We start from the raw sequence: 18,839 nt of genomic DNA on the forward strand, positions 1-18,839 counted from the left end.
TAAAATTCATACATTGAAAACCTAATCACCAATTTAATGGTATTAGGAGGTGAGGCCTTTGGGAGGTGATTAGGTCATGGAGGCAGAGCCCCCATGAATGGGGTTTGTGTCCTTATAAACAGGGCTGTCCCCGACTATGTTAGGAAACAGTGGGAATGTGCCATCCATGAACCAGAAAAATGGGCTCTCAACAGACAGCAAATTTGCCTTAATCTTGGATTTCCTAGCTTTCAGAAATGTGATAAATAAATTTCTTTTGTTTATAAGCTACTTAACTTTTGGTATTTTGTTATAGCAGTCAGAACAGACTAAGACAGATGCTTTGGTAGCAAGCAACAAAATAACAACTAAAGCTTGTTTAAATAAAGGGAAAGTTTTCATAAGATATTAGATATATGAAACCAAAGGTAGGATGTGTAGGCAGGCCTGAGTGAGGTGCTGAAATAGAGAACTAGAAAGCCCTCAGAAACCACAGCATTTTAATCCACCCACTTTCTCTGCATCATTTGTGTTCATCACATAGCGATGGGTTTCTACTTTCTTTTCTTGGTTTTCTTCATAGACCAGCTCTGTTGGTTGGCTTATTAACACAAAAATAAGGTGTTAATCCCAGCCACCAATTCAGTAACTTGACAGGTAGAGTACCCTCAGAAAATGAACTGGGCCTCTCTGTATTTTAACTGGAAATTCTCCGAAGAGAGAATCACAGAGACTGCACTTGGATTAGGTGACCTTTGGGTCCAATCAGCCATGCCTGGGTTCTGGGTCATATGTCTTTCTGTGCATTCAGTGAGTCCTGTGGGAACATTCTCTCTGAGAAAGGGGGTATGAGTAGATCTTAAAACAGTGTTAGGAAGCACAGGGAAATCATGGGCAAACAAAATGATTGATTTTTCCAGTCCAAGTCTTTAAATTTAATTGGAGATTAAAAATAAATATGTGAAAAATTTAAACCAATAATATGTATGTCTTTCCCCATATCTTGATTTTTTTTATGCAGAACAGATTTATATTGTTAAGATAAGTGAGTTTCTATGATTCAAAAAAGTTAATTTTGCTCAAAGAGGTGTCTAATTACAAATACGGAGTAGTAGTACAGGGCAGAAGTGTATGTTCAGAGTGTTTCATTCGGTTATAGTCCTACAACTTTCTTTTTCCCCATGTCAGAGTTTCCCACTTACTTAATGTTCAATTCTTTTATCTGAAAATAAAAACAAAACAAAACAGGACAAATAGGCAAACAAAAAACTCTGGAGAACGTTTTGACCCTCATAAAAACACAGAAAAACAGAGCTTGTTTGGAAAGTCTTCAAAAAGTTATGTTTGGCCTCTGGGGTATATGATTTGTTTTTATTTCTGTTTACGTAATGCATTTTATATATTATTATTAAATATAAACATATTAAATATTATGTAATATTTATGTTACACATGTATTTATATTACCAAGTCAGCGTTGGATGGGCTCCAGTGTGTTTTTGGTTACCTCAAAGTAACCTGAAGGCTCTCTTCTTTCTCTTTATTAATGTCTTTGCAAGCATTTCTAAATGAACTTTATTTATATCTCACTTAGCAGCAGGTATTGTTCACAACAAGAAGTTTGGGGAATACAGAATAGTATAAAAATGGAAACAAGACATGGATAATCACACTACCTACAGGCAACCATTGTTCATATTTTGTCATGGTATTTTTTTCAGCATTTTTTTCACGATTTTTAAATAAACCTTTTTCATAATGGAGGAATAGTGCATGTATGGCTTGGTACTCTGTTTTTCTCACTCAAGATTTTATTATAAGAAGTTTCTTATGTCATTAAAGTTTTTATATACATTGTTAGCAACGTCATAATGTTCTATTCGTGGATGTGCCATGTAGTAAAATTTTGCTTACCTATACCCTAACAGTGGACATTGAAATTGTTTCTCATTTTACTTTATTATAACTGCATTATGTGACAATGTATATTTTTGGTGTATAATCTGTGTCCAAGTTTTGGTTATTCCTGTGGAATAAATTTCCAGAAACATAATTACTTGATCAAATTTTGCACACTCTTCATGTTTCTGAAACCACTTCAAATTTTCTTTCCAGAATTCTTGTACCATTTTGCAAGCCCTTCAACACTGAAAAGATGTCTCTTCTGGCACCCTTTGTAGTATTAAGTATAACCATTAAAAACAAAACAAAACAAAACAAAACAAATAAACAAATAAAACTGCTAACTTTTATAGGGGAAAAAAATCTTCCCTTGTTGATGACTAGTGAGATTGACATTATTTTCTCAGTGATGATTTTCTCATATATTATTAGTCACTTGAAGTTTTTCTGGGGAGCATCTGTTTGCATCATTTTTCCTTTTGGGGTTTTCTAATGTTTTCCTTAATAACTTTTATGAACCTTTTGTTTGTTAAAAATATAAGCATTTGCCATGTAACTTAGAAGTATCTTTTTTTTTTTAACATATAGATGTGTTACACTTTTAACTCATTAAATCTAATGTTCTTTTGGTTTTCAACTTTATTTTTCTTTCAACTTTTTGTTTTAAAATTTCCAGACTCAGAAAAATTAAAACAATAATCCAATGAGCCCTGTATACTCTTTACTTAGATTTCACGAGCTGATAAAAGTTTGTCACATTTTCTCTCCTTTCTCTGTCTTCAAAATATGATACATACATATACATATATGTATATATATGTGTATATATAAATATATGAGAGAGATTTCTTTATTATTGTTGAACTATTTGAAAGTAAGCTTCAGACATCATGACACTGGGCTGCTATCTTCTTCGTTGTGCATCTCTTAAGAATATGGACTTTCTCCTGTGTACTTCAATACCATTAAAACACCTAAGACAATTAACAAAAATTACATAATATCTTTTTTAAAAATTAATTAATTTTTTTTGAGACAGCGTTTCACTCTTGTTGCCCAGGCTGGAGTGCAGTGATGTGATCTTGGCTCACTGCAACCTCCGCCTCCCACGTTCAAGCAATTCTCCTGCCTCAGCCTCCCGAGTAGCTGGGATTACAGGTGCCTACCACCATGCCCAGCTAATTTTTGTATTTTTAGTAGACACGGGGTTTCACCATGTTGGCCAACCTGGTCTTGAACTTCTGACCTCAGATAATCCACCTGCCTTGGCCTCCCAAAGTATTGGGATTACAGGTGTGAGCCATGGTGCCTGACCAAAAATTACATAATATCTAATATCCAGTCCTTATTTGAATTTTTCCTATTGCTCCTCAAATAAGTCTTTCATTATTTTATAGTCTTTTATTACTTTATCCAAAATCCAGTTAGGTTTCATCATTGCATCTTTTGCATGACTGTTTAGTTTACTGAAGATTGTTCTTAAAATTTGTTTAAGAATGTCCTTTTTAAAGAGGAGATTACATGGGTTTTACCTATATTTTCTATTAGTTTAAAATTTCTTTTTGTAGTAACACACTTTTATATTGAACTGGAATTTATTTGGGTTATGGTTTCTGCTGGATGTCTCAGACTGTTTTTCTTTCTAAATAGCTTATTTCATTCCAGCAAAACTGTCTTAGGATCTGGCCCATTGATATTATACCAATTCCATATGTATATATAATTGTAGATTTGTAATGGATTTTAATATATAGTAGGTCTAATCACCATTATCGTCATTTCCATTGTTCTTTTTTTGAATAGTTGCACATGTTTCTTCCCTTAAATAAATATTATAATCTTTTCTTTCCACATTGTATTAAGAATAGCAAATTTGTATGTTCACTGAGATTCTAGTAACCCTCTATAACTATCTTTTACTAAAGTTTCATTGTTTTCTTGCTTGATAACTCTCAGTACTTGATAGGAATTTTAATCTATATTAATGTCACTCAATAGGTTTCAAAGCTTAGGTGAATATCTATAGAATATTGTCTTAGGTGAACATATATAGGTAAATATTTATTGTTTGTTCACTCATAAATATTCTAAATTCTATTCCAACATGAAGCCACAGAGAGCCACAACTCTGCACAACATTGACTTCTGAGAGAGGAGGAAGGAAGAAACCAGGTCAGGCAGGGAGTTAGGGTGGGTCCTTGGTAAAACTTCAAACTAAGAACAGCCTGAAAATCAAGCTACAGGCCCCAAAATGGAAACACCTACTATGAACCCAGATGAACAAATTCCACTCCTTTTTTGGACATATTTCTCTCTCCTTGGTGTGCCTTTTTCTTGTTTCACGTGCTTTCTCCTGATTGGTCCTTACTGTTCACCTATTTTACATATTCTGTGATTGGCTGAGGGCCAAATCTTCGTTTGGATAAAGTAACATCACTCCAGCCCCTGTTTGGTTGTGGGCCAAGCCTTCACCTCTGCCTCCAAATGATTCTTTTCACTATCCTTTCTGTTTCTGAGTGGTGCCTTCTCCAAGATGTGCAGACCAGTCCTCCTTCCCAGGCCATAAAACCCCCGAACTTAGCTCCTCAGCCAGCAACCCTATTTTGGGTCCCCTCTCCTTGCTGAGAGCTTTTCTGTCACTTAAGAAATCCGACTCTGCCTTACTCACTCTTGGTGGCTGTGTGCCTTATTCTTCTTGGTCATGAGACAAGAACCTGGAGCTTGCCTGTGGTGGGAATAAAAGAGTTGTAACACTCCCTCCCACTCAACCAACAACAGGAGTGAAAAAGCTACAAGATTTCCACCTCTGTCTTCTCCCAAAATCCACTCCTATTGCTTTTATGAAATTGCCCTTTGGCATGAGGCCATTATCTTTGATTGTAGCAAAGATGCCCCTATTATTAATAAATGTGTTGCTGTATCCACATTTAGGATGTTGCTTGTTACATGACATGGGGTCCAGCTTATGAGAACCTCAAGGGAAAGCATTCTCTCTAGCCTCACTATAAGGAGTACTTTTCCCAAATAGTTGTTATGTTTGAATCTTATGAATATTGAATCTTATAAATTGAATTTATGCTTTTGTTGCTTGAAATCATAGAGAGCCAAATTTGTGACCCATAGATAACAGGCATACAAAGTGTCATTAATTCATTTATTTTTTCAGGTCTCCAACAGGGATTAATGAAAGATTTAAAATATTCCCAATTGCCCTACCTACTTTTCTTCTATGGGTATATACTGACATCCAAATGGTGTTCATACTACCTGTTTGAATTGCTGTTTTAATTGGCCTATTTGAGATTTTTTTCCTTTCTTTTAAAAATATTGTAAACTCACCTATAAACTGAAGGAATGATTTCAGGGTGCAGTAAAAGAATGGAGAGAATACCCACCATGGTAGTAATGAGCTTGAGTCTCATATTTTAAAGGGACTGTAAGTTTAGCTTTGCTCTGTCACTGGAACAGAAGTGTTGTAAACACTTGAAAATCATGACATCCAGGCTTATGCTCCCTTTGCTCCATCCCCTTCTATAAACCTTCATTCGTGCCCTTCAAAATATGAGAAAATTGACCTCATTACTATTTATAGAGATTTTACTTCCACAAAAGCTCAAGGCTCTTCAGGGGCTCTTAATACTACAGCACCTATTGCAAAGATTTAAATCAATGCATTATTATATATTCCAAAATATTCTTGTAAAGAAGGAGTATACCACATTCCCACTTTACTAGTTCAAGGAGAAGAAAGAGCTCTGAATCCACACTTAAATAGCTGCCTGAAAGGGAAGGATATTCTAATAACATTGGGCAAAGCCTACTGCATGTCACAGACCATTCTGCTTGAGACAGAATAAGGTGATGACAGACTATTTACACACATACCCAGTACACAGGAGAAAGGGCTGTATACCCGTTACCCCCATCTTTGACTTTCTGTTTTGATGACTAGTTTTCTTTAGAAACAAACCCTCTCATTGTAATATAAGTTGCCGTTACATATATGCATCGGAACACATGTATATGTACCTCTTCTTTCTCTTGGTATTATATAATAAAAGTCTAAAGTCATGTTTATCATGACATACCTTTATGTAGAACAAAAATTCAGAATTTTAAAAAAATTAGTGAGTAGTATAGCTAGAGGAAAGAAAAGAGAATACTTTTTACACACTGAAGTAACAGACTGATGAGTTTAGAAATAGGGGTCATGGAAACAAAGGTTTGGTGAATTTCTAAAAGGACAGAATTGAATTATTATTAAGCCTCACACTATTTACTGCATAGGAGTTAATGCCAATCTCTGTGAAGAGCTGGTAGACATTTTTCTTTCATACCTAGGGGTTAGGCCTCTATCTGGATTTTTTATTCTTTGTGTGTTTTAGATTTTGTGTGTGTGTAGCCAAGCATCAAAGAAGTTCACTCAAAACAATTATATCTCATATTACAAGGAATTTTGAATTAAAGTCTTTTTTTTTTTTTTTGAGACAGAATCTGGCTCTGTTGCCCAGACTGGAGTACAGAGGCCAGATCTTGGCTCACTGCAACCTTTGCCTCCTAGGCTCAAGCGTTATCCTACCTCAGTCTCCCGAGTAGCTGGGACCACAGATGTGTGCCACCACACCAGGATAACTTTTTTGTATTTTTGGTAGATGTGGGGTTTCGTCATGTTGACCAGGCTGGTCTCGAACCCCTGGGCTCAAGGGATCCACCCACCTCAGCCTCCCAAAGTGCTAGAATTATAGGCATGAGCCACTATATCCAGCCTTTTTTAGCTTTTCTTCAAATGAATGTGGTAACAATTAAACTGACAAGACTAAAAAATTACTGGAAGGCATTTGGCTGAACTACATGCTAATTTAATATCATGCAACTTTAAATATAAAAACCATTCATACAAAAGAAGTCTTTTTTTTTTTTAGCAGACCAGTTTTAAATATGCAGTATCTTACAATTTTTAAAAAATAAACTTTTGATCTCATATCTGTCTTCTACTTTATTCTGAATAAGAACTAATATTATTGCTTTAAAGTGATATAGTGATATGAATTAATTCCCTTGAAGAAACACCAAAGATGAAGGGATCAAAGTGGAATTCTGATATACTTTTTGATCAAAGAAGTAGGTTTTATGCTATTAAGTAAACTTAAGCCTCAACTATATAATAGATTTTTCACATTAAAATCCAAGTGTTTTTGCCTTTGATGATCTCTGTAATGCCTATTTCTGCCTTGTGACTGTTAACTTATTAGAGGTAATTCTGCTTTAGCTACCTTGGGTACCATATTAGAAGACAATGCCTAATCTAGAAGTGTCTCTTATTCCTCCAAAGAAAAATTGTTATGTATATTTCATATTTACTGAATGTTATTGTAGCCCATCATTTTGAAAGGGGGGTAATGTAAAATAGTATATGAATCACTGATAGCTTCCTTTAAACCCAGTGTTTGTCATATGTACTATATTTGCCAACAATTCTGGGTAGGTATTTGCAGTAATTTTTTTAAAAAAGTCATTTTCATGTATGTGTCTAGCCCTGAAAAGACAAAAGAAGGAAAAGTGGCCATACTGGTTTAATCTGAGCCAGTATCTGACCTGATTGCTTTTATTCAAGAAGCCATATATCAATCAGGCTTGATTTCCAAGAAATGGTTTATGTTTGAAGCATAGGCTGTTCATTGCTTTTAACAGCAAAACACAGAAACTGGAAAATAGTTTTTAAATAGAGTCAGCCCATGTAATTTCTGAGCATAATCTTTTTATAAAATTTTTACAAAAATCTTGCCTTCCAACTTTTGCTTTCCAGTTGAACCTAATCACTTTGTGGGTTTTGATGATCTAGCAGGTATGAAGCACTATACATTAAATGCAGTGTTGACAAAGGAAATTCACTAGCAAGGGTTTCATTAACTGAGGATTAAGCTAAAACCCCTTCCCAGAATTGCCAATAAATGAGACTCTAATCTAAAATTTCACATTAAGTTTAGTACAACTAAAACGTGTGTGTTCGCACATGTGTGTGTGCTTGTTGAACGAGTGTGTATGTGAGTGAGGGAAAATCCCAAAATGAGTTAAATTTTTTTTATTATTTAGTTGGCTGGGAAAGTACAAATTTTTCTTGTAAGTATAATGCACTAAGCAAGGGAAAATCCTACAACTTAAACATACTCAGTGGACCCATCCAAGCAGATGCATACATATACGTAATTGTTCATACCCAAATATAAAATTGAGAGATTTGAAAGGGGAACTCTTTACCACCTTATATGGGTGGGCTTAGGCCTGAATTGAAGGAATACATTTCATATTTATTTTACACAGTGGAGACTTCTAAAAGGCCATTTGCAAGGTTGATTCTAAAAATGCCGCTCTTAAAAATATTTTGCAATTTTCCTTGCATTTTCTATTATATTTAGATGTGATTATGATTATTAAACTACTCTGAGGTAAGAATAAAGATTGCTTGAACCTTGCTGATTTTTTTACATTACTGATTTAAGTATTTTTTAAGGCAAAATTGGTTATAAATGAACATATCTACATAAATCTAACTCATGATTACATACAAATAATTTGCTACTTATTAATCATATTTTTTAGCTAAGAATATAAGCTTTACAATTTTTTTTGTCTGAGTAATTTGGATTGATGCTTAAATTTGATGGTTAATGGCTTGTAAAATTTTAATTGTGCTGTTATGATCTAATTTTCAATCATGAAGGTTGTGACGAATTTGTAGATGTTTATAAAATAGTAGTTCTGTGAGCTTCAAATGAACTCCGTGGAAAATTTGGTCCAGTCCTTGCTCTGAAGCTGATAAATAATATCCCCTGCTTGAAGATGAGTCAACAAAACTTCGAGAAGTTAAATGACTTGCTCCAGATATTGTGTTTTGTTTGTATACTGTAGATGTGGGATTAGAACACAAGTAACTTTCCCACCATCTTTTTCAGTTTCCTTTATTGCATCACACCACATTAAATTATTTAGTCCATCAGTTCATCATTTTTCATTTTAAGAAAGTTTAATATAATTTATTAATTCCAAACACATCTGGAATACAGAATCTTATAGAAATTCCATATACTTGGCTGGGTTCAGTGGCTCACGCCTGTAATCCCAGCACTTTGGGAGGCCGAGGCAGGCGGATCACCTGAGGTCAGGAGTTTGAGACCAGCCTGGCCAACATGGCAAAACCCTGTCTCTATTAAAAATACAAAAATCAGCTGGGCATGGTGGTGCGTGCTTGTAATCCCAGCTACTTGGGAGGCTGAGCCAGGGGAATTGCTTGAACCCAGGAGGTGGACGTTGCAGTGAGCCGAGATCGCGTCACTGTTCTCCAGCCTGGGTGACAGAAAAATACTCTGTCTCAAAAAAAAAAAAAAAAGTTTGTTATTTTTAAATCCATCTCATTTTTCTGTTTGACATAATTAAGAGCAGTAGATATGATTCTAATAAAATTGGGTGCATTTAAAAGTATTGTTCATGTATACTTGTTTTGCATATTTTTGTTCCCAAGGAGTTTTGATTCCATTAACTATATTGAAAAGAAAAGGCAAACTAAAGTTTCAAATGCTTTACTTCTCTCCACTAAATATTAAAGAAAATAACTTGGACTGAGAACTAGGAAGAAATGACAAATAAGAAAAGTTCGTGATTAAAGGTTTTCAAATTATATGACTAGATCTGCTACTCCAGCATTTCAACAAAAAGCTCCATTTTCTATCTCAGATGAGGGTGGTCTCAAGTCATCAGTGGCTGATCTGACAGAGTAAATCTGAAACAAATTGCTGCCACAATAATCCTTCCCTGGTATGACATGCTAATAAGGAAGAAAATCACAAGTGTCTCAAAAATGAGTTGATTTAGTTGGTGAAAAATACATTCATTATCATTAATGAGATGGATGAATGTAATCTCTTTTATCCTTACACTTAAAAATAATTTTAAATAAACAGGTATATTGATCTGGATGAAATAAATGATCATCTAATTATTTTTCATAATTGTGAACTTTTAGGAATAATCTTATTAGATGAACACATTTTGTTTGATCTTTTGCTTTTTAAAATTGCTTATTATTTTCATACAAAATGGCATTAAATGAATTAATAGGACCATGTAAAATTCAAATAAAGTTTAATGAATATCTAAGGCTGCCAACCAAAGAAGCATCATCGTTCAAATGTTTCTTTGAGATGAAAATTGCAAGCAATGAATTATTAATGCCCAAGTTTGTTTCTCATTTCTGACTGTGCATCTGAATGATCATCCCATGTGCCCACTAGAATAACATTTTATATGACACTCCAGGGCTCCCATAATGATATCACAATTATTGGCTAAATTAAAGGTCTAGTCATTAAACTAGCAAGAGTTGCATGGCAGGTTAAAAGGTATATATATATATATATGTACCCTGGTAAAAGCAAGCACTATTCTTTTCAAAGTCTTGGAAGGTCTTTAATGAGAAGTATAACTTTTCATTCTAGAATTCAAAAGAAGTCTTAAAACCAAAAGTGTAAGTGGTTTGCCTCAGATCCTTTTAGATGCTTTCCCGAGTATAGTTTTTTTGCTAAGGAAAGAGTTTTGAACTAAACAAAGGGATATTAGCTATATGGCAGGATAGGTGTGAAGGAGATAGCATGAAGGCAGGCTAAAGTTTAGCCTGGCATAAACTGTGCAGTGAGGGTTGCCTTTAAGATACCTGTTCACTCCTATCTTGGATACCTGATACCAAGCTACTCACTGGGTGATTATAGCCTTTTACTTCAGTACCCTACATGAATCTGTTCTGCTGGCATATTAGGAGGCCTAGAACATTCCCAACCTCCTCCTAACATCAAAATGACTTCTCCTGCATTTGGTTCCTCAAGAAAAGTCTTAAAGAAAAGGGAATGACTAATCTGAAAAATGAAGCTTTGCCAGGTTCAGTGATCTAGATGTATTACTCCTTCCCGGACAAATGAGACCATGCATCCTGAAATTCTTGACCCAGAGGCACTTCCAATGGCCCTGTGGGAAGATAGTTTATTTGGAGCAAGGGCAAAGTCCTAAAACAATTCTGAATAGACAACTTCTTACTCTGCCTATACGCAGGTCCCTGTGTCTAGATATTCTATTGTAGTCTTCAAAAAATCTACACTAGATTGAGGCTTCTTTCAGCTGAGACCTAGCCTTTCCTAACAAGCAGGACTTTTTGGTACCGATCTAGTAGCCTATTATCTCAAAAGAGATTTTAAACATTTTATTAAGGCCATACATTTTCATGGTAACTTCCATAGGAGCAAATAAATATCTACTGTGTTTTAGGTACTGATTTCAGTGTTTCTCATGCATTAATTTTGATAATTCCTACTTTAACGATCTTTACCTTAATAATTTATTGTTGTTTTCTTATTATCCCTGTTTTATAGATAAAGAAATTGAGGCAGACAGAGGTTAGAGGATTTGAACTGATGTTGCCAGGACTTGAAACCAGACAGTGGCTTATATTAGAGTCTGTGTTCTCAGCTACCATACTATCTGCTGTTCTGCTGATGACCTGCGGAAAGCTTCATTCACTGGCAAAAGAGAAGTAAGCCCAGGGAGGTGTCTTTGCAACGTTGCTTATCTCTGTAATTGCAATTGCCACTTTGTCCTATAAATTTCACATTTCTGTGTTCCACTGGAGTATGATCTTCTTGAAGACAAGTACTTTACTTTATTCATCTTTGTTTACTGTTTGTAAAATGAATGAGTTTATGTTATTTGTGTTGTGGAGGGCAGGGCAGTAAAAGTCAGAGTTATTTAGGAGAAGATCTGATCTTCTCCTAATGAACCTGCATGGCTATCATTAGACTCAAGGAGTTGTTTTTTAAGTAACTGGCACTGTCACCAAGTCTGAACTGGGCCACTGCTCTCTCAGTAATAAGATTGTAGAACAAAGACATACTGTGTCTTTCATGACTCAAACATCAGTTTTGAGAAAACCCTCAAAGCATCGATTTTTAGCAAAACAAGAAATTTCAAAAATCCAATTGAAGTGTACCAAGTATTTGGATACGACCTGAGTATAGGGGACAGAAGATCTTGTTAAACCAAACCACAGACATACAGTTGGCAATATCCAGAATATGAGAAAATCTACAGGACGAATGACTAGGAGTCTTCAATAAGTAAAAATGATGAAAAAATAAAACAAGAGGGAGAATCTACAGATTTTTTAATGAGGGTTAAATAACAAATCTGCTTAATGCCCTGTGTGAATACAGACTTTAACAAATTAAAAAAAAGCAAACAGGCCAGGTATGGTGGCTCATGTCTGTAATCCCAGCACTTTGGGATCGCTTGAGCTCAGGAGTTTGAGACCAGCCAAGGTAACATGGCGAGACCCCGTCTGTACTAAAAATACAAAAAAACAGCCAGGCATGGAGTGCATGCCTGTGGTCCCAGCTACACTGGAGCCTGAGGTAGGAGGATCACTTGAGTGTGGAGGGCAGAGTTGCAGTGAGTGGAGATTGCACCACTGCACTCTAGCCTGAGTAACAGAGCCAACCCTGTCTCAAAAAATTTTTTTTGAATAGTGGTAGGATCTTTGGTAATATTAAGATACTACTAAGGACTTGCTAATTTAGATGCAAAAATGGTATTTTTAAATGTTTTCTAAAAAATAATTGATTTCTGTTAAAGACATACTGCAAGTATTTAGGAATGAAATGATATGATGCCTTGGATTTGCTTTAAAATTCATATTGGATTTACCATTCATTAAAAATTATTTAAGGTAGGTCATGGGTACGTACATGATGGGTAAACTCATCTCATGACTTTTGTATGATTTAAACTTTTTGAGAATAATAAGTTAAGAAAGACATTTTCAGCTAAATGGCTTATAAATCCAGTATGGTTTTTTGTTTTGTTTTGTTTTTTTAATATGAAAACCTGGTCTGGAATTGAACAGTTTCTTATCATTCATTGGTCAGTTACTTTGCTCTAACAGTTATATATTGCTCTGTACCAAACCATCCTAAAAATTAGAGGCTCACAATAATGACTGTCATTTATTTTGTACCTCAGTTTGTCATTTGAGTGATGCTAGCAGGGATAACCCTTTTTCGTGCCTCCTAGCATCAGAAAGGGCAGCTCCCCGGGGGTCTGGAGGGTTTACTTTCAAGATGACTCATTCGCATTGGCTGGCAAGTGGGTGCTGGCCGTCACCTTGAAGCTGCCAGGACCGTAAACCAGGGGCCTTGGTTCCAGTTGACCTGGGCTGCTTGGGCTTCCTAGGAGCGTGGTGGCTGTGTTCTGAGAGCCAGTGTCCCAAGAGACAGGAAGTAGATCTCGTCAGTTTCTTAAGGTCTGGGCTCAAAAGCTGACACAGTGGCATTTCCTTTGTCTATGGGTCACGCCGCCCCACAGCCCAGGCACAAGGAGTGGAACACGTGCTCCACCTCATAGTAGGAGGGTGTCAAGAGTTTTGAGGCCATGTTTTAAAACTGCCTTCTTTGCAATCACTCACAGAGCCTCAGGTGTCAAACTACAGAACTGTTTTATGAAAATAACTAGAATAGATGTAACCAATGCTTGGGCCTAGAGATTTTTTTTTTTTTTTTTTTTGAGATGGAGTCTCGCTCTGTCGCCCAGGCTGGAGTACAGTGGCGCTATCTCGGCTCACTGCAAGCTCCGCCTCCCGGGTTCATGCCATTCTCCTGCCTCAGCCTCCCGAGTAGTTGGGACTATAGGCGCCCGCCACCACACCTGGCTAATTTTTTGTATTTTTAGTAGAGACGGGGTTTCACCGTGTTAGCCAGGATGGTCTCGATCTCCTTACCTCGTGATCCGCCCGCCTCGGCCTCCCAAAGTGCTGTGATTACAGGCGTGAGCCGCCACGCTTGGTTGGGCCTAGATATTTAAGCGGCACCTCTTACAGTAGGCCCAGCAAATGAGTATAGATGGTGTCCACCTTCAAATAGGTAATGTTAGGGCAGGCCAAGGTAAGAAAGGGTGAAACAAATCACTAGAATAGTTTGTAATGGCTGGAAGTTGAAGTGTAGAAAAAGGGAAGTTACACTGTCTTCCTAACATTATTCCTGGGTGGCAGATAGGACTTCAGCTAGCTGGGCCGTCAGGCACTGGCTCTCACTCCTTTTTTCTGCTAGTTGTGTGGCAATACCAAGTAGGCACAGTCACCCAATTTTACTCACAAATATGGTGAGGACAAGAGATTCTGAAGCAGCATGGAGAGTGTGGAAAGATTGGCAGTGGACAAATTTGTGGATAAGATTCAGGGCTAAAGGAATTATTTGGGAGACGGAAGTGGTTGTACTGCTTGGTGTGTACCAGACAATGAAAAACTTGGATTTTCCTCCAACAAGCATGAGTACACTTATCCAGCTAAAATGTTCTCAAGGTTAGAACCACAAGTAAATAATGATTTGAAATGTAAATTATTTTTCTTGTAACTCTTTTCTAGCTCATTTTTTTAACTATGTTTAGTTGCCAACAATAGCTCTTGGGAATTCTTTTCTGCTTAAGTGATATTCATCCATCTGTCTTTAAGAAATTATTTTAATTGGTACATTTGCTTTGTTACCTACTTCTGATGGAACTTTCATTTTAGACACCTCTAGATTCAATTTGTTCAATAGACATTTATTAAGCACCTCCTGTGAATTATGCCTGGCCCTAGAGAACCTGGCTATGAGATTTTAAATGGAAAATATATTTCATGGGAGAGGTCCTAAAATGCTGTGGGAACACAGTGGAGAGGAATAAACTTTGCCTTGGGAAGTTGGGAAAAGCTGCATAGAGCAGGTGATATCTGAGCTGAATCTTGGATGCATGGGTGGGAGCCTGCCAGTTAGAGAGACAGGAAATAACATGTTCAGATATCCAGAGTTGTGAAACATTCATGGTACGTTCTGTGATAGAGAGTGTAATGAATTGACTCAGTAGGGAACAATATGATTGGTGAGGTGCTCTTTCTCTTGTCATTGTTTCTTTTTGAACTAGGCTGAGAAGAAAAATAATTCCAGCAAAATTAAGCACTCTATATCACAAACTATTAATAACAAAACACTTGCCTCTGTAAGGATTCCCCATCTCTCTCTTTGGTATGGTAAAGAACTGCATATGTGGCTGTATGGTGGCTCATGCCTATAATCCCAGCACTTTGGGAGGCTGAGACAGGAGGTTCCCTTGAGGCCAGGAGTTTAAGACCGGGCTGGGCAACACAGTGAGACCTTGACTATATAAAAAGAAAAGTAAAGAAAACTGAAATAATACAAATATTTTAAAAATTAAAAAAGAACCGCATATGCTATACTAAGGAGTTTGAACTTTAACTTGTAGGCAAAAAAGTCAATGAAAGACTTTAAGCTGGTGAATGAAATGTTGCTAAGTCTTAGACAAGGCAGTGGCTAAGAAGAGATGGGGTGGCTAGATTTGAAAGAACTGGAAGAGGCAGAGTCAACAGGATTTACTGTTTTATTGGCTAAGGAGGTGAATGGAAGAGATGAAGGGAAGCACTGAGTTTGGCCACCTGATACTCTGTTGAGGTCATTTGCTGACAAACGAGGAGGAAGTTTTTGGAAGGAGAGGCAGTGGAGGAGGTGGTTCATCTCTGGGCTGGTGATACCTGAGGAGTCTGCAGTATATCCAGATGTTATTATGGGTCTGTTGTTCAGGAGGGGGCAAGATGAGGTTTGTGAACATGTAGGGAAGTAGTTGTTGATGTCGTGGGAATAGTCTTTTAATATTCCTTTCCTTCAAAAATACCTTGAATTCAGTATCTTCTACATTCTATATAAGGTGATATTTGTGTACTTTTTATATCTTTCTGTACTTATCACTAGTTTAACATGGACTGTTCAGTTGGTTAAGTTGACAGTACATCAGTATCTCTCAGAATCTTGCTGCCCCAACAACTCTACTGAAGACTGCTTTGGGGAAATCACACCTTTTTAATGGTTATATACTCTCCTTACTCTCTTCCTTTCAATCCTTGGATTCAAGTTCCTCTAACCACTCTCACCTTTTTGACATTTTTTCTTCTTTTAGTTTTCTCTTTCTCTTTGTTTCGTTTACTCCTGCGACGATGTCTTTAGTCTCAGGCATTTCTCACTCTGGTGTATGGCTCTCAAATCAGTCACTCTTAATCGTCTCAAGATTTCCCTTCAAGAAATGCTTCTTTCCTTTTTCCGTATTGGTGACCTGTCCATAGGCCTCTGGTTATTCACTGTTTTGGAATTAAGTGAGATTACTTTGATAAACTATTCTCAGCAACCTATTGCCATTTTTCAGCTCCTTCTAGAAATTATAGTAGAAGACATCATTATGTGGTAGCTGTTACATGCCATTCTCTGCTGGGCTCTCAGGTTACAGCAGTAACAGCAGCAGTAGTAGCAGTAGCAAAGCCTGATGCATGTGCCAGGCACAATTCCAAGTGTATTATGCATGTATCAAGACATTCGATCCTTACTACAGTACCATCCAGGTAGGTACAATTATTATCTCCACTTAGTACCTGAGCAAAGTGAGATACACTGGGTAACTTGCCTAACATGTTGGAACTAGTAAATGGTTAAATTGTCAACCAGGGACACATTTGTGCACCAACCAATTTTCTCTTTCATTTCACCACTTTGGTGTCCCTAAGTTGTACTTGTTCAATCAAAGCATGTTACAGATGTGCAGCCCTGTTTTCAAGGGTTCTTAACATCTTTTCTGTAATATAGATTACATCCCAATCATGTAAATGAAACAGGCATTCTTATTTACTAAATGCATAAATATTATAGATGACTTGTCATAGGAAACAAACCTCGAATTTGACCTCTGTGAGCTCTGTATATTTCCTCTTATTACCTGTGGCTTTTCCTGCTTAAATCCCACATGGGCTGAGAAACTCTTACTGGAACTTCATACAATGATTTAAGGGGAAGTCAGTGAGCACTTCCTATTGAACTCTGCCTTCCTGGTGGTCAAAAATTTGCAAAAACACAGATGAGCATCAAATGATGTTTGGAATTTGAGGTCTAATCTTAGTCTTTCTGGAAGTGTCCAAGAAAACGAACCTTCTGAATGGCTGAAGCCTACCTACTTAAACTCATTGTGAGGATTTAATTGGATGGGTAGGCTACTTGCTGGCCATTCTAATTACATCAAAACTTACTCTGACCACTGGGGCCTGCTATAATAATATGAACAATACATTTCTTTTTGTCAGAAAGCCATCACTTTTCTTCCAAGTATTGGATCTATTTAAAAAATTTCAAGTCTCCCACGATTATTTTGTGGGAATCTAAGTCTCTTTGTAAGTCTCTAAGAACTTGCTTTATGAATCTGGGTGCTCCTTTATTGGGTGCATATATATTTAGGATAGTTAGCTCTTCTCATTGCATTGATCCCTTTACCATTATGTAATGCACTTCTTTGTCTTTTTTGACCTTTGGTGGTTTAAAGTCTGTTTTATCAGAGACTAGGATTGCAACTCCTGGTTTCTGTTTTTGTTTTTTTTTTTTGCTTTCCATTTGCTTGGTAAATATTCCTCCATCCTTTTATTTTGAACCTATGTGTGTCTTTGCACGTGAGATGGGTCTCCTGAATACAGCACACCGATGGGTCTTGACTCTTTATCCAATTTGCCAATCTGTGTCTTTTAATTGGGGCATTTAGCCCATTTGCATTTAAGGTTAATATTGTTAATATTGTTAATAATATCAAATGTGTGAATTTGATCCTGTCATCATGATGCTAGCTGGTTATTTTGCACATTATTTGATGCAGTTTTTTTCATAGTGTCATTGGTCCTTTACATTTTGGTGTGTTTTTGCAGTGGCTGGTACTGGTTTTTCCTTTCCATATTGAGTGCTTCCTTCAGGAACTTTTGCAAGGCAGGCCTGGTGGTGACAAAACCCCTCAGCATTTGCTTGTCTGGAAAGGATCTTATTTCCCCTTCACTTATGAAGCTTAGTTTGGCTGGATAGAAATTCTGGATTGAAAATTCTTTTCTTTAAGAATGTTGGATATTGGTCCCACTCTCTTCTGGCTTGTAGGGTTTCTGAAGAGATATCTGCTGTTAGTCTGATGGGCTTCCATTTTTAGATGACCTGACCTTTCTCTCTGGCTGCCTTTAACAGTTTTTCCTTCATTTCAACCTTGGTGAATCTGACAATTATGTGTCTCAGGGTTGCTCTTCTCGAACAGTATCTTACTGGTGTTCTCTGTATTTCCTAAATTTGAATGTTAGCCTGTCTTGCTAGGTTGGGGAAGTTCTTCTGGATAATATCCTGAAGTGTGTTTTCCAACTTGGTTCCATTCTCTGTGCCACTTTCAAGTACCCCAATCATAGGTTTGGTGTTTTCACGTAGTCCCATATTTCTTGGAGGCTTTGTTCATTCCTTTTCATTCTTTTTTCTCTAATCTTGTCTGCATGCCTTATTTCAGCAAGGTGGTCTTCAATCTCTGATATTCTTTCTTCTGCTTGATTCATTCAGCTTTTGATACTTGTGTATGCTTCACAAAGTTCTCGTGCTGTGTTCTTCAGCTCCATCAGGTCATTTATGTTCTTCTCTAAACTGGTTTTTCTAGTTAGCAGTTCCCGTAACCTTTTATCAAGGTTCTTAGCTTCCTTGCATTGGGTTAGAGGGAGAGCATCAGGACAAATACCTAATGCATGCAGGGCTTAAAATCTAGATGGTGGGTTGATAGATGCAGCAAACCACCATGGCACACATATACCTTTGTAACAAACCTGCACATTCTGCACATGTATCCCGGAACTTAAAGTAAAATTTAAAAAAATGTTCAGACTGGCCACTATCCGTGTATGTAAAGAAGTGCTTCCTGGCATCCCAGCAGCACTGATGGCCAGCTGTGCCATGGGAGGAGCAGCAGTGAGATGTGCTATTGGATGAACTACATCCACAAGGCCAATCTGTTTGAAATAGATTCAAATGTTTGTATTCTATCACTGT

The 18,839-nt window shown here is 36.9% G+C and overlaps 1 long non-coding RNA gene across 2 annotated transcripts in view; it reads left to right on the forward strand.

The window, feature by feature from the left end:
- Positions 1-3,959: 3,959 nt before the first annotated feature.
- Positions 3,960-18,839, forward strand: part of LOC105378008 (uncharacterized) — an 81,586-nt gene continuing 66,706 nt past the window's right edge. For both annotated transcript variants that reach the window (XR_001744346.1, XR_943001.2), the window contains exons 1-2: positions 3,960-4,053; positions 11,298-11,458. This is a non-coding gene — a long non-coding RNA (uncharacterized LOC105378008). The remainder of the gene's footprint in view (positions 4,054-11,297; positions 11,459-18,839) is intronic.

Source organism: Homo sapiens, chromosome 6 (genome assembly GCF_000001405.40).
Source record: "Homo sapiens chromosome 6, GRCh38.p14 Primary Assembly".
In the NCBI taxonomy this organism is placed as follows: domain Eukaryota; kingdom Metazoa; phylum Chordata; class Mammalia; order Primates; family Hominidae; genus Homo; species Homo sapiens.